Raw genomic sequence first — 15951 nt, 5'->3', positions numbered from 1 at the left:
TATGGTCTTTGTAGGCATGAGAAACTTATTTTGACCCTAGTACTTGTAGATTGATATCCACCCAAACCTCTCTTTTTTCTCCTCTTTTGTTTATTTAACTGTTTTTTGTCTCTTCAGGCATACAGTTGTCCTATGTGGGCCCCACATTCTTACCTGTACCCTCTGCACCAGGCCTACCTGGCAGCCTGCAGGATGTACCCAAAGGTCCCTGTCCCTGTTTATCCTCATAATCCCTGGTTCCAAGAGGCTCCTGCTGCTCAGAATGAAAGTGATTGTACCTGTACTGATGCCCACTTTCCTATGCAGACTGAGGCCAGTGTTAATGGTCAAATGCCACAGCCAGAGATTGGACCGCCGACATTTTCTTCACCTCTGGTTATCCCTCCATCTCAGGTGTCTGAAAGTCATGGACAATTGTCTTACCAGGCTGATCTTGAATCTGAGACCCCTGGGCAGCTTCTGCATGCTGATTATGAAGAGTCACTAAGTGGCAAGAATATGTTCCCCCAGCCATCTTTTGGACCCAATCCATTCTTAGGCCCAGTTCCTATTGCACCTCCTTTCTTTCCTCATGTTTGGTATGGGTACCCTTTTCAGGGATTCATAGAAAATCCAGTAATGAGGCAGAATATTGTCCTGCCCTCTGATGAAAAAGGAGAATTGGATCTGTCTCTGGAAAATCTGGATCTGTCTAAAGATTGTGGTTCAGTTTCAACAGTAGATGAGTTTCCAGAAGCCAGGGGTGAACATGTACATTCTCTCCCTGAAGCAAGTGTGAGCAGTAAGCCGGACGAAGGCCGGACAGAGCAATCTTCCCAGACACGAAAGGCAGATACGGCATTGGCTTCCATCCCTCCTGTAGCAGAGGGAAAGGCTCATCCTCCCACTCAGATTCTAAACAGAGAGAGAGAAACTGTGCCTGTTGAACTTGAACCTAAAAGGACCATTCAAAGCCTGAAAGAAAAAACAGAAAAAGTAAAAGATCCTAAGACTGCTGCTGATGTGGTCAGCCCTGGGGCCAACTCTGTTGATAGCAGAGTGCAAAGACCAAAAGAAGAGAGTTCAGAAGATGAAAATGAAGTGTCTAATATTTTGAGAAGTGGTAGATCCAAGCAGTTCTATAATCAAACTTATGGAAGCAGGAAGTACAAAAGTGATTGGGGCTATTCTGGTAGGGGTGGATATCAACATGTGAGAAGTGAGGAGTCCTGGAAAGGACAGCCAAGCAGAAGTCGGGATGAAGGTTATCAGTACCATCGAAATGTCAGAGGGCGACCATTTAGGGGAGATAGGAGGAGATCAGGGATGGGAGATGGCCATAGGGGACAGCACACTTGATGGTTGTTGCCGAAGTATTTTCTAACAGAAACTCTTAGGTGGAATGTTTCTGAAGGCTTTAAAAAAAATACAATAAAGTAAAAACCGCAGTTGGAACTCTTTCCTCTCCCCAGCCCCCCTTACCTTCACTCCCATACTGGACAAGACATTTTGGACATGAGTTCAAGGGGGCAGGTTAATTCCTGGCATTGCCAGTTTTCTTCATTCAGAATCTGTTTGTTGATCAAGTGACTGTCCCCGTAAAAAGTAGAAGATAAGTTTGTTAAAGTATTTTTTATAAACAGCTTAATATAAAACATTATAGATTTAGTGTTTGGCTTTTTTCCTTATAAGTTTATAAGTTTGATTTCAGATGTTGGAAATGTGTGCTTTATAGTGTTTACTAAAGTGACAAGAAAATATACCATTTGACACACTATAGATTCCAAACATAACGTTGCACCAAATAGAAATGTATATTTTATTATGCAATGCCTTAGTCATAAACTGGGCTCAAACAATTCTCAGCCTAAAACACTGTTGTCTTTTAAAATGCTTCCAACCCAAAGGCCTTTCATCTCAATATCTGTCAAACTTGAATAATGTCTTCTCTTTAATATTCACATAAGGCAGCCTATTAACTGTGTCTTAGCAATGTTGTATATAGTTCTTTTAATATTCATAAGGTATATTTTTGAATTTTGGTATTTGTTGAGATTGCATAGAAGAATAGTAGGAAATCCAATGAAATGGCTGTTTCCACCAAGAATTCTTAGCACTGGTGTAAATATCATGGTGCCTACTCGAAAGAAATGTAGATGCTATGCATTTTGAAAATAATCTGCATCAGTTAGAACTGCAGAAGTTTTTTTAATGCCACTTTAACACTAATGCACTGACAGATTCTAAATATTTTGTGAGAAGAAATGTTAAAAATTTTTAGCTTGACAGGTTTCTAGAGTTGTTTTCTTCCTCCCCCCCCCCCCCGCACCATTGGTTGTGTATCACTTTCACTTTACACTTGCATGTTCTACTTGTCAGGGCTGGAACTATTGTATAGAAGATAATATGATTGTGACTTCTAGTTCTTTTCTAGAGGATGCTGCTAGAAAATGGTTTTGCTTTGTATTTTATAGCTTGTTACCCTTAGGTAGGTAACATCTTACATTCTGTTTTCTTCCAGTCTTTGCAGTATTCACTAGAGGTTCCCTTTGCATGTTGCACTCTGTTCTCATTTGGAGATTGAACTCTGAATTAACACAGTATTCATTCATCTGTGTTATTTTGTAAAAATAACTGTAGCTTATATTCTTTATTTGTGCATACCAATGTGAAAATCCACTCTTTTATTATGTTGAGATTATCTTCTGATCAGGAAGTTTGAGTGCTATGCAAATAACATAGTAGTAATTTCTCTTTGCATGCCATGTGTAATATACCTAGCCAAAACCAGATGCGGTGACTTTCTTTTTTTGTAAAGCAAATTACTTAAGAAAATACAATTCACTTGAATTTGACAAACTGAAACAGATGGGTTTTCTGGGTTCTCTGATAACCTATGGGAATGTTTGGATGCCAGTTGGGCTAGTGAATCGCCACTGTACTGTAATAATGGTTATTTACCTCTGTGCTGTTTTAATTACCTAACGTCTGTGTAACTGCTGATTTGAGTAGTGATTAGCATTTAGATAATGTAACAGGATTTTAGAGAGCACTTTGAAAGATAACATTTTATTATGATGGTGCTAGGTAAAAAATTGTAAAGACTGGGATGGTTGTGTGGAAAACTTTTCTTGAGAGAACCTATTGAAAGGAATTTGTTGTCACCTTCTTAACTAGAATAGTTGTTGAAGGTACCGCTTAAGCCATTTTTTTCTTAACATCGGTGGCTCAGTTAAGGAATGAGAAGATAGAGGGTCCTCCACTTTCAGCTCATGCTTTTTTATGTAGGACTAGCTTACCTGATTTTAATGAAAATCACATTTTGATACAAACACCAGATTTGAAAGTTCAATGTGTTTGATCTCAGGAGTCCAAAATAAGTTGTTGCTTCTAGTGTCCTGCATTTTATTGACTGGGGTTTGATCTCAGCTTCTGAAAATGTTTAAAAATTGGAAGGAAATACTACTCATATCTTCATTGTCACTTTGTCTTACCTCAATTGAGTAACAGAATATAGCTCCTGAAGGAAACACTGATTTGCTTTCTGTTTCCCATATCTCACCTCTAGGATATGATGGAAGAAGTGCTTGAAAGAGAATTTTAGCAGATGGTACTTTTCTCAGTGACCTCTGGAATAAAAGAACTGACTTTTGATAGTTTTAAAATTAATCTTTGCATGAAGGTTGGTTTCGCTTTTTTTCCTTTAAGTTTGTTTTTAAATGTATTAGTCCAGGGGATTTTGCCTTATGCTGAGGTCAAACTAAGGATAAGCAAGCTTTTGTCCTTCATTTTAACTGTTATGTCATACTGTTATGTTGACATATTTCTTTATAAGAGAATAGAGGCAAAAGTATAGAACTGAGGATCATTTGTATTTTTGAGTTGGAAATTATGAAACTTCACCATATTATGATCATACATATTTTGAAGAACAGACTGACCAAAGCTCACCTGTTTTTTGTGTTAGGTGCTTTGGCTGAACTTGATTCCAGCCCCCTTTTCCCTTTGGTGTTGTGTATGTCTCTTCATTTCCTCTCAAATCTTCAACTCTTGCCCCATGTCTCCTTGGCAGCAGGATGCTGGCATCTGTGTAGTCCTCATACTGTTTACTGATAACCCACAAATTCATTTTCATGGCAGACCTAAGCTCAGACCCTGCCTTGTCCTGGCAAGCATAGGTTTTCCCAGACCACAATGCTGATATATCTTATTTAATGCAGACTGTATTCTTGCAGCGTGTTGTTTCCTTTGTGACTCAAGGTTGAATTAAAATGCCTGTGAACTGCAAACTTGCTTATGATTGACTTGGTGCAATAAAGTTCCTTTCTAACCATTTCTGGTTTAGAAAACATTCAGCCATCCTAGAAACTAGCAATATTTATTTTTGCCTCTTTCGTTTTACCTTCATTTTTAGATGAGGTAAATGTTTTGTCTTTTACTTAAGGGTACTAAGCAAGGTCCACTCTAGTGTAGCTGAAGAGAATGCATATTTGGCTACACTATTTCTGTTTACTGTATTTTGCTTCCTACTTTATGTCTAAATGCTATTGTTTGTTTAAAATCCTAATAATGTCTCATTTCCAATATGTTATTTTCAGATAACTAAGGTTTTGCTACTAATGTCAGCCATTTACTCTCCCACTAATTGGGATTATTTTTTAAAAGAGGTCTTTCTCCCCGAAATACAAGTTTTAGAAAATCTTAGAAGAGGGGTGGGTGCATGTCTTAATGCTGGGAAGCGGCAACTTTGGGGTTGAACTTACTTGAATGGATTAAAAATTGCATTGTGTTACAGAGCTAGAAAATTTTATGTATGAAAAACGATAATAGCCTTACACTGAGTACAAATAATACTTTAAGAGCATGTGAAGATGTGATCATTTGTGATGTTACTTGTAAAAAAAAGTATATATACATATCTTTTGAAGTGTTAAAAGGAAACTAGTACTTTATATTCTTTATCATATCACTTTTTGTAAGTGTTGAATATATTCCTGTTTATTTTTCTATGTTCTGTTTTGTAGCCTTAAGAAGTGTTTCAAACATATCTGAATGTATAAAATAAGAGTAAATGCCCTACATGGTGTGATGCTGCATTATATATAAAACTGTGTGCATATATTAAATTTTGTCTCTTGATTCTGCTTGTGATTCTTTGGTTCCAGGGTTAACCAGGTAATATAGCATGTAGATCTTGAGAATTTTTGTAAACTCCTTAAAATAAATGATTTCCATGACATGTTTCCAGCTAGAAGACAATTCTCATACATGCAACTAAAAGCCATGTAGAATTTATAATCTATGGGTACTGTGTAATTTTCCCTAGTTTATATAACGAAATTGAGGCCAAGTTACTTGCTTAGGGTTATGCAACTAGTAAGTGGTAGGACTTGTATTTGAGTCTAGTTTTAAGTGATTTTATAGCTAGTGCTACCATTTTTTTTCTGCAATGACTAAATGGGAATGTGCAGAATATCTAAGAATATGGATTAAATTGTTTTTTAATGGTTTTTACATTTAGCATTCAGTGATATTTATGTTGGCTAAAGGTGAAAGCAAATTGAGTGTTTTGAAAACAAAGTATACTTACTTTATACTCTGAAAACTCAATTTCTTAAAGCCTGTTTTTCTTTATAAAAGTTACCAAAGAATATTATCAAGTCAATACTTGTTTACATACAATATGAACTTTCTGTTAGCCTGGCTTCCTCAGGAGGCCGAACCTGAAACAAGAGCCTCTTTCAGTTCAAGTATTTGACAGAAAAGTGAGTGATCTAGGAACAGGGTCAGCAGGCTGGGAAGGAGGATGAGCTGTTATAAAGGTAACGAGAGTTGGCATGTGGAACTTTTGAGACTGCTTTAGGAGCTGAGTAAAATATAGAACCTTGTGGGAAAGGGAGAAAGGAAGGAGAAAGGAAACATTAGGTTCTTGGCAGTATGCCCGTGGGTTTATCCATGGAGTCAATAAGAGAAGCCAGTGTTGGGGCTGGTTAGTAAGAGGTGTGTTTGTGGCTGGATGGGGGGCTCTTGCAGAATTGGTCACTCCAGAAGTGCATGGCAGTGACCCAAATTAAGTCAGCGGTCTCCAAAAAGTGTCTGATACAAAGGGCCTGCTTTTCACTTTGAATAATTAAACTTTCCCTTTTCATTCAAAGACTTAGGTCTGGGTCTAGGGCATAGTATGAGAATGTAAGTAACTATGAAAGAGGAAGTTAAACACAGCTTCCCTTCATAAACTTTTGCACCCTAACTTAATCTGTGAGTTCTTCATGAAACGTGGACCCCTCAGAATAGTTTAATAGGGTTTTCTAAGAAAAGCTACAGACAGACATAGGTATAAACATCAGTTTTTGAAACTGGTTTTTCTATAATGAATTCATTAGAGAAACTGGGGCTTTAGAGGCAATCCTTTAAAAATACATAACATTCCTGTAATTATATTTTATTTTTCACATTTAGTAAAAAGCATTACAAAGATTAAAGATGTTAATGGTAGGCCAGGCGTGGTGGCTCACACCTGTAATCCCAGCACTTTCGGAGGCTGAGGCGGGTGGATCACGAGGTCAGGAGCTCGAGACCAGCCTAACCAACATGGTGAAACTCTGTCTCTACCAAAAATACGAAAATTAGCCGGGCATGGTGGCACGCACCTGTAATCCCAGCTGAGGCAGGAGAGGCTGAGGCAGGAGAATCACTTGAACCTGGGAGGCGGAGGTTGCAGTGAGCCAAAATCGTGCCGCTGCACTCCAGCCTAGGCAACAGTGAGGCTCCGTCTCAAAAAAAAAAAAAGATGTAAATGTAGATGAGTGTGGTTCTTAAGGCCTCCTATCCCTATGAATATTCTTAACTGAACTGGCAGGTTAACCGATTGATAACAAAATTCTGTGTAGTAAGCCAATTTCTTTTTAAAAAAAATGAGAACCTTGACTTTGGACTAACGACCTCCAGATCAAATAGAAAACAAACTACTGCAATTTACCTATCTAGGGATATATTTGTTACTTGTTGCATCCTTCCAAACTAGTAGTAAAAGCATTTAAGTCCTGTATAGTTTTATAAGATACTTTTATAAATGGAGACAAGAAACCAGAAGCACAGATATAAAGTGACCATTGACATGGGAGACCTATACTTAGGCACATGCAAGGTTGGGAGCTGGAACTAACATTTTCATTAAAGCCAGAGTCACCCCAGCGAAAAGGAGTGAAATTAAAAATTCCCAGACAAAACTGTCTTGGCCTGGGATCCAGTTTCTTAAAGGCAAAAAACAAAACAACCACTGAAAATGTTACCACATTCATTTAGGTTTGAGGTCCAGAAACTCACAAACTAGGAAAACTGAAAAGTGGTTCCAGGGTGGTAACACACTTGGCTCCCCTGGCAGAAGGCAAATGGAGAGCCTCTCAAGGAAAAGACCTTTCTTGATGGCAAACAGGAAACCAGTTTGACTTAACCAGGTTTAAACAAATAGGGATTTATTTCTCAAGAAATGTGGAGAGAAGTGGCTGCTGGCAGTTGTGCAGCATTTTAATGTCAGGAGTAACATTCTTGTAGCTTGTTTTGCATTTCCCTTATATGTGTCACCTTCTGGGCATGAAATGCTTGCTCCATATATTACACCCTCAAGAAGCAGTACCAGATGATAATCTCCCTTTATTAGGAAAACGAGGTTTTCTTGAGGTATTTTCTAGAAAAACCTCAAGAGGTTTCAATTTACTGGCTAGAACTCTCTTGCAGTTAGGTCATATGGCTTAACTGCAAGAGACTAGGAAAGTATGGAAGAGGATTTTCTATGTCTTAGACCAATTATGACCAACCACGTGGGACTGGGCATTGGCAGAGGAGGTGGTAGTGGTGGTGAGTACAGGGCTGAGGATAAATGATATTTGCCACACAAAATCTCAGAATTTTCAGATACAGCCTCACTGAACATCTGCTCACAAACTGAAACACTACAAAGGAAACAATCTTCCAAGAGCAACAGTCAGCACAGTATACAGCCAAGTTTAGACCTGCATGTATTAAGTGGACAGAGTAGAAATGCTTAAAAAAATTAAGACAAAGCGGTGAAAAATTAAAGTAGAAGCTCCGGAACAACTACTGTCTGGATATTTCCGCTTCTCTAACTGGCCTTGCTTTGTCTCTTCAAGTCCTACTACTTTCAGCATGTAAAAAACTAACTTCAATCTGGAAGGCACAGAAAGCTCATCACAATCTGCCCATATCCATCATTTCCTTCCATTAATCTCTTAAATGCCCATGTTCCTTTCTGCCTCTCACCAGACATGTATTTTGCTTTAGGTAGATTATCTCACTTATCCTTTTAACAACTCAGTAAGATGGGTGCTGTTACTCTTTCCTGGGACCTAATTCCTTTATGTAGTCCTTTCTGACATTCCAACTCAGAATGATTACTTTCTCTTCTGAACCACTCACTGAGTGCTCACAGCAGACTAGGCACTGGGGTTAAGGACTTGACATACCTGTATCCAAGTATATTGATGAACATGAAGGAAATTATACAACACAGCAGTTTTGTAGTCTTCCTACTTTCTCTGTGGCATGCAGGTTCATTCCTTCAATACAGTAGGCCACTACATGCCAGACACCATGCTATATATACTGAGTGTTAAGACAGATACAAGACTGGACTTCAGAATGCTTGTAGTCTAAAATTAGGTTAACCTAAATTGCAAAAAACAGTTGTAGCATCAATACACTGCCTTTAAGACTACACTAAGTGAACACAGAAAATATGGATTATCCAGTATTATCTCAAATGTGGAGAGAAGTGGCTACAGATGCCACTATTATTATCCAATGACGATTTAAAAACTTCAATGGCTGGGCGCGGTGGCTCATGCCTGTAATCCCAGCACTTTGGGAGGCCAAGGCGGGTGGATTACCTGAGGTCCAGTTGAGACCAGCCTGGCCTACATGGTGAAACTCCGTCTCTACTAAAAATACAAAAATAGCTGGGTGTGGTGGTGGGTGCCTGTAATCCCAGCTACTCAGGAGGCTGAGGCAGAATTGCTTGAACCCAGGAGGCGGGTTGCAGTGAGTGAATATCACATCATTGCACTCCAGCCTGGGTGACAGAGCGAGACTCCATCTCAAAACAAACAAACAAAAAAAAACCCCCAAAATTTCAATGATTTATAATCACATGCAAAGTGTAAAATTCAAAGGGTATTATATATGTGTATATATAAATGTCTCCTTTTCCCGTCTATTCTTTGATCAAATTGTCCTTGTCAAAAGCAATCTGTTTCTTGAGTATTCCTTTATTTCAATATTTTGTATATTTTCACAAAAATGGTAGTATAATAAACTGTTCCAGTTTTTTGTTTTTTTAAGTATTTGAGACTTTTTCCAATTAGGACATATGAAGTAGTCTCATTCTTTTGCTAACATCTGCATTGATTTTATACTGATTTTATAAGTATTTTTCTTGTGTTAGCAATTGTAGGCCTTTCTGTTGCTATGTAAAATTTTAAGATACATATTTTAAAGATTTCATTTACATGAAAATACGTTTAATACATATTCTGTCATTAGCAGTAAGTAGAACTGTGCTCTTATATCACAAGTACTTTCTTTAAGACAATCCAGGATCAGTAAATAACAATAGCTTTTGCTTATTTTATTCAATATATTTGAAATGATCATTCACAAATTTAACCTATCCTTAAAAATAGGCATTACTTATTTTAGTATAATCCCATTTGTATACAAAACAAACCCTTTACATATTCACACTTAGGTAAGTGCACAGAAAAAAGCATGAAAGAATATACATTATTAAATTCAAACGCTGGTAACCTTTGGGAGGGTAATAAAGGGAGATCATTTTTTTATTCCATTCTGTATATTTGAATTTTTTACAACATGTATTTATGGGTTACTGAAATTATTTTTAAAAGGCATAATAGGGTCCAGTTAAACCATACTTTCTAGCCATTATTTGCATATTAATCAAGACTTCTGTTATTTCAAGTAGCTCTTAAAGTTTGTCAAACAGTTTCTAATTTCCTCCTCAATTTTGCTTGCCCCAGTCATTTATTTAGTAAACACTCTTCCTCACTCATAATTCCAGTTTAGTCAGAAGTACAACTTAAAGTGGCTCCAGGCTCCAGGTAATCCTGTTCAAAATTCAGGAACTCAAGAAATTTAGATGGGTTTTTGGAACTACAAAATGGTTTAGATAATGTGCTCTATATCCAAACTCACAAATGAATATATGTGGTACCAGGGGATACTTTGTATTGCCATCTGGGGACTTTTGCATTAATGTTGCCTTTAGGGAAGTGGTTTATAATCCTTGGCTGCCCAACAGAAAAATCTGTGGAACTTAAAAAAAATACATAGATGCTTAGGCACCATCTTTAAAGATTTCGAGTCTGTAGTTCTAAGGGAAGCAAATATTCTTTAGAAATGCTTTTTCCTAAATCTCAATCAGTGATTATATAAATATATGTGTACAAAAATGACATTACCTAGAGAATGACTGAATACAGAACCTCATGGAATGCAAAAACAAAAAAAGTTCAGAGTAAAGTTAGGGGTTTTTTGCGGGGAATGGAACTGAATTGGTTTTTGCTAAACATGTTTAAAAGCACCAAAAAAGATTAAAAACAATTTAAAAATACCTATTTTTCCAACAGTGGTGTTTTGCAGTAGATAATCTTCCTCGGAAACCATATACTGGTAATATAGTGCAAAGACTGAAAACAAACAATAAACATAATCCTGATGTTTATTTATCAAATGTCAATCAGTGGAATCTTTGACTGGCTTTTAAAATAAGGGCAGTTTCATTACACTGGCATACTTGGCAAACCAGGTAAGTACAGAAACCCTTTTCAAGATTTAAAAAATGGAGCAACACTGGTCAGCATTTGGTACCGTGAATATAATACACCTACTGAAAATCTTCCCATACATCATGAAAACTTGGAAGTAATTTGTATAGCTTGAAATGTCTTCATTTTAGAATATTATGCACAAAAGAGCCTCTTCAGGAACAGAAAAGTGGCATTTTCTGTGTTTCAACTACAATTTAGAACCCAACTGGCTTTTTATGTTATATTAAGTATATTATACTTCAAGTTCCAGAGTATGTGGGGCATAAAATCCTGATTCAAGTTTTATATGACAAAAAATTCTAGTAAATACTCCTTTTAATAAATGGCTTATCAATATTCTCAGAGTCAGTCTAATCATCCAAGAAAAAGTAGTTTCCACTCTTCTTTTGTTCTACATCCTAAAAAAGAAAACAGAAGCCACAAAAATCAGCAACACGATTCTACTATAGGTAAAAGTAGACTTTCACTCATGGTATTACTTAGCTGTGCTTAAAACAGTGCCTGTACAACCTGTTCTGCACATACCATCTGTTTCTGGATATTCCTGGGTCCACTGCTCAAAGGAAAGATAACTACCTCTGCCCCATCCCTAATGCTAGAATGACTCACTTGCACCAACTCAAGTAAAGTCCCTTTATATAAGATGCCTCACATATATAAAATTTTGCTATGTGTTATTATTTCTAGGAAAACTATTAAATTCCATTTTCATCAATGCAACTTTTATCTCCAGATTCAAAATGCAGCATACTGTCAGTTTGAGATCTGCCTACTACACAAAATATATATATATAAAGTTTTTTCCAATACTGGCCAGTAACAATCTCACCTACCTACTTGTTGAGCTGTTCTCTTATTAGGATTAAGGTATGACAATCTTAAGATGAGTAGGCATACAGAAATGATAACTCATGGTGACTGAACCATAAGTCTGTCTAAGAAAATGACAATACAAAGTGTCCTTAATGCTTCCAAAGAAATTCTTCTTTTCTACCCAATATGCTTTTCAAAACTGAGAAAACTCTTCAATTTTATGTGAGAACTTAACCATTTCTCTATCCTGGCCAAGAAGTAATATCAATCAGAAAAAAGGCATCCAGACATACTGTTAGGTGCTTAAGAATACAATGACGTGCAAGATAACTTTGCCTCTGGCATTCCAAGAGCTCATGGTTTAGCAGCAAAGCTAGGACTACAAATATGAAAATAAATGCTACAGCAGAAGTATGTATAACATACTTCTAAAGCTTTTAAGCATTAAGGATGATGGATACAGAGTGATAAAATGTAAACACTTTGAGGCACTGCAGATATTAAAAACAGAAATGATGGCCAGCATGGTGGCTCACGCCTGTAATCCCAGCACTTTGGGAGGCCAAGGCAGGTGGAACACTAGGTCAGGAGTTCAAGACTAGCACGGGCAAGATGGTGAAACCCCATCTCTATCAAAAAAATACAGAAAATTAGTCGGGTGTGGTGGTGGGCACCTGTAATCCCAGCTACTCGGGAGGCTGAGGCAGAGAATTGCTTGAACTCGGGAGGCAGAGGTTGTAGTGAGCCGAGATCACGCCACTGCACTCCAGCCTAGGTGAGAGAGTGAGACTCTGCCTCAAAAAAACAAACAACTAAAACCAAAACCAAAAAAACAACCCAGAAATGCTTTTAGAGTTCATTTACTTTCTGTTTCTGAGTGACTAAGATTTTTGCCTTTTAAGAAACAAATACTGTATTTCACAGAGGAAATCAACTGTAGGGTGCACAACTGTGAACTACAAAGACAAAAAACATTGTCAATTAAGTAGACACAATGTTTTCCTCATCACAGGAGCTTGTTTAGACTTTCAAAATATACTTTTTTTGCGGGGGTTGCGGGGGCGGGGGCAGGGACAGAGACTCGCTCTGTTGCCCAGGCTGGAGTACAGTGGAACGATCTCAGCTCACTGCAACCTCCACCTCCTGGGTTGAAGTGATTCTCCTGCCTCAGCCTCCCGAGTAGCTGGGATTACAGGCGCATGCCACCACGCCTGGCTAATTTTTTGTATTTTTAGTAGAGATGGGTTTTCACCGTTAGACAGGATGGTCTCGATCTCCTTGGCTTCCCAAAGTTCTGGGATTACAGGCATAAACCACTGCGCTTGGCCTAAAATACACCTTTTAATCATGTATTGAAAAATATAACAGAAATTGGTTAAGGTATTCTTAAAAAATTCTTTGTTACAATGGTGAATTAGTGTAATCTTTCCCCAGACATTTTAAGTGGTAATCAATATAGGTAGTACAACTGTGATACAACTTAAAGAGAAAACAGGAAGAGCTCTTGAGTTCACACAGCAATGACAGCTACATTACAATTGCTGCCTACCGCACACTAAAGTATGCCATCAGGTCTTAAAATGTAAAAAACATAGGAATTTTAAAATAAAATATGGTTGTTTTTTAATTTATTTTTATTTTTTTAGACAGAGTCTCACTCTTTTGCCCAGGCTGGAGTACAGTGGGATGATCTCAGCTCACTACAACCTCCACCTTCCAGGTTCAAGTGATTCTCCTGCCTCAGACTCCTAAGTAGCTGGGATTACAGATACCTGCCACCAGACTCGGCTAATTTTTGCATTTTTAGTAGAGATGGGGTTGCACCATGTTGGCCAGGCTGGTCTCAAACTCGTGACCTCAAGTGATCTGCCTGCCTTGGCCTCCCAAAAGTGCTTGAATCACAGGTGTGAGCCACTGTGCCCAGCCATATGTTATTGATTTTTAAATAGCCTTTCAAGTGTTTATACTGAGATCAGTAATCCATGATTTAAGACAACTTTTCTACATACCTTAATTGAATTAAGTTTGTTTATTCGTGGCCTATAGTTGTTTGGATCTCTTCTGAATGTAATTTCAAGCTGAGACAAAAATTTATTCATGCCAGCCAAAAGGGTTTGAGGACTAAGAGAAAAAAAAAAATCAATTTTGATTAAATTTTACTTCAGAAATGTAACTACCTTTTGAGAGGAAGGGTATTAAGAATTACTATTACCTCAAATTCCCCAATCATAAATCATCTGGATAACAGTATAATAACAGCATATTACAAATCCTGTGTTCAGAAATAGCTTTGCTTGGACTATATAGTTTTCTTGGCTGTAATATTTTTGTGCAAAACAAAAAAAAAATTTAACCTGGATTTCTAATCTGGTGAAAGAAACATTTAAGATAGAAGTACTACTTTAGAAAAACAGAAGATAATTAATAAGTAGATTACAGAATCTCCAATTGCACATTTTTAGGGGGGATGAGAATCTTAAAAAGTTATATTTATATGAAAAATTTGTTACTGGAGGGAATATGTCCTCCTAATAGTGGTTTTCAGTGACAATTCCTTTCTAAATTTCTATGCTTAATCGTTTTTACCCAAGTGAGTTCTTAAATCATGCCAAATCACAACATACATGTGAAACATTTTAAAATTTTGTAAATAGAAAGGTGGGATATCACTAGATGAACAAATAAACATCACATATGCTAAGAAATTTCCCTAGCTCTTTAAGAAATATGTAATTCTCAATTTATAAAAAAAAAAAAGGAATTCAGGGAAGAAGCCCAGCAAAATACTTTTATTTCTTAGATGAATTATTAAAATGGCAACTCCATTCCTTGCTCTCCAATACCAGAAAACATGCTGAAACCACATGAAACTGCTGGTTTTATAGGTGAAAACTGAACACCAGTAATTTCATTTAGTTCAATCTAATAATATAGGCTTTAGCACTAAAGGTAAAATGAATTTCTCATAACTTGATCTGAATGTTAGGCTTCTCTATATTGCAAGTGCTCTTAATCAGGCTAACAAGGAAAAATGAGAAGAAAAAACGAAAAAAGTAAAACCATTTATTTTAACTCTGCTATAGATTAATACCAGATATTTGGGATCCACTGTGAGCTCAATCACTGTCAGCATAAGTTGGACAAATCATGTAACCTCTTTAATCTTGTTTTCTTTTTCTATCATGTATGAAAGCAATAGTTTTCAATCTTTTTTGGGAAATTCAAATAATAAAGCAAACAAAAGTTAAGCTGAGAAAAGGTGAGGGGCCCACAGCTTTTTATGCTGTGGCCTACAGCTTTTTATCTTCCTGGTGAGGGATTCCACACTGAAGCCTAAACACTACTCTTCCACATGGTCCCATCCAGTCCCCAATACCAATGATCTCAGGAGTCACAGAATCAAGTCTAGAATTTCTAGCTTTCATTTTTTAAAAATTAAAGTGAGTGACTTTACTATTTACTGGAAAATTTAAAATGAATTACTTTGAACATATTAAAAAGTAATTTTACCTGTTTGCAACTGTGTTCTTAGATGGAACACCATCAAAAACGATGACGCGATCCGCTAGATAGGTGGCCATGATGAAGTCATGTTCCACAACAAAGGCTGTCTTTTTTGCATGGAGTATGAAACTAAAACACAATGATTTTGAAATCTTATAGCTTTCTATCATAAAACATTCGACTGTTATATTAAGCACACTTGTAGGACAGTATACATAATCAAAATATGGCTAGGAGCAAGATATTTACCGTTTGACAACTCGAGCTGCCATCAGTCTTTGCTCAGAATCCAAATATGCAGATGGTTCATCAATTAAATAGACATCAGCAGGTTTGCCCAAGCAAAGGGCTAAAGCTACTCGCTGTAGTTCACCACCAGATAATGTCTGCACCTAATTGGAGGAGTTTAGCAAACCATGTAAAGGCATCCAAAATTCAAAATAATAAAAAAATAAAAAAAATTATGTTAAAGTACCTCTTGATCAATGATGTTTTCAATTTGCAGAGGCTTCATTACATCGGTCACAAATTGTGGGTGAGTATAAGCATCTCTTATCTTTTCATGTAGTAACTGGCGAACACTTCCCTGTTTTTAATATAAAAAAGTATTTAAATGATAAACTTTCACTATAGAACTCTTCTATTTATGAATCTTGACAAAGTTAAGCTTCAGAATAAAAGTATATCAATTTGCCACCAACAGATATCAATGTGTATCCACCATCTATGACATGTTTTGAGATTTTCTATTCAAAACCCATCATGTCCAACAAGTAAAAAGGAATTTTTT

General features: G+C 36.9%; 2 protein-coding genes across 8 annotated transcripts in view, besides 1 other annotated feature; one reads left to right on the top strand and one right to left on the bottom strand.

The window, feature by feature from the left end:
• OTUD4 (OTU deubiquitinase 4) overlaps positions 1–5118 on the top strand; it is a 46940-nt gene extending 41822 nt beyond the window's left edge. For all 6 annotated transcript variants that reach the window (XM_047415838.1, NM_001366057.1, XM_011532041.3 and 3 more), the window contains exon 21: positions 118–5118. In XM_047415838.1, coding sequence (XP_047271794.1) covers positions 118–1338 — 1221 coding nt within the window. In that variant the 3' untranslated portion in view covers positions 1339–5118. The remainder of the gene's footprint in view (positions 1–117) is intronic.
• ABCE1 (ATP binding cassette subfamily E member 1) overlaps positions 9244–15951 on the bottom strand; it is a 31214-nt gene continuing 24506 nt past the window's right edge. For both annotated transcript variants that reach the window (NM_002940.3, NM_001040876.2), the window contains exons 14-18: positions 15637–15747; positions 15411–15553; positions 15168–15290; positions 13667–13778; positions 9244–11242 (exon numbers count right to left, since the gene is read on the bottom strand). In NM_002940.3, the coding sequence (NP_002931.2) occupies positions 11195–11242; positions 13667–13778; positions 15168–15290; positions 15411–15553; positions 15637–15747 (537 nt within the window). In that variant the 3' untranslated portion in view covers positions 9244–11194. The remainder of the gene's footprint in view (positions 11243–13666; positions 13779–15167; positions 15291–15410; positions 15554–15636; positions 15748–15951) is intronic.
• Positions 12397–12636: an enhancer, noted in NCBI's record as "active region_21962". NCBI's record gives its function as "activates an Ori minimal core promoter by ATAC-STARR-seq in GM12878 lymphoblastoid cells {active_cell/tissue: GM12878}" and the evidence as "EXISTENCE:reporter gene assay evidence [ECO:0000049][PMID:35858748]".

The sequence above is a fragment of the Homo sapiens genome, chromosome 4, assembly GCF_000001405.40.
Source record: "Homo sapiens chromosome 4, GRCh38.p14 Primary Assembly".
Lineage (NCBI taxonomy): Eukaryota > Metazoa > Chordata > Mammalia > Primates > Hominidae > Homo > Homo sapiens.
Note: the sequence above shows the minus strand (reverse complement) of the source record. Positions and strands in the feature narration are given on the sequence as shown.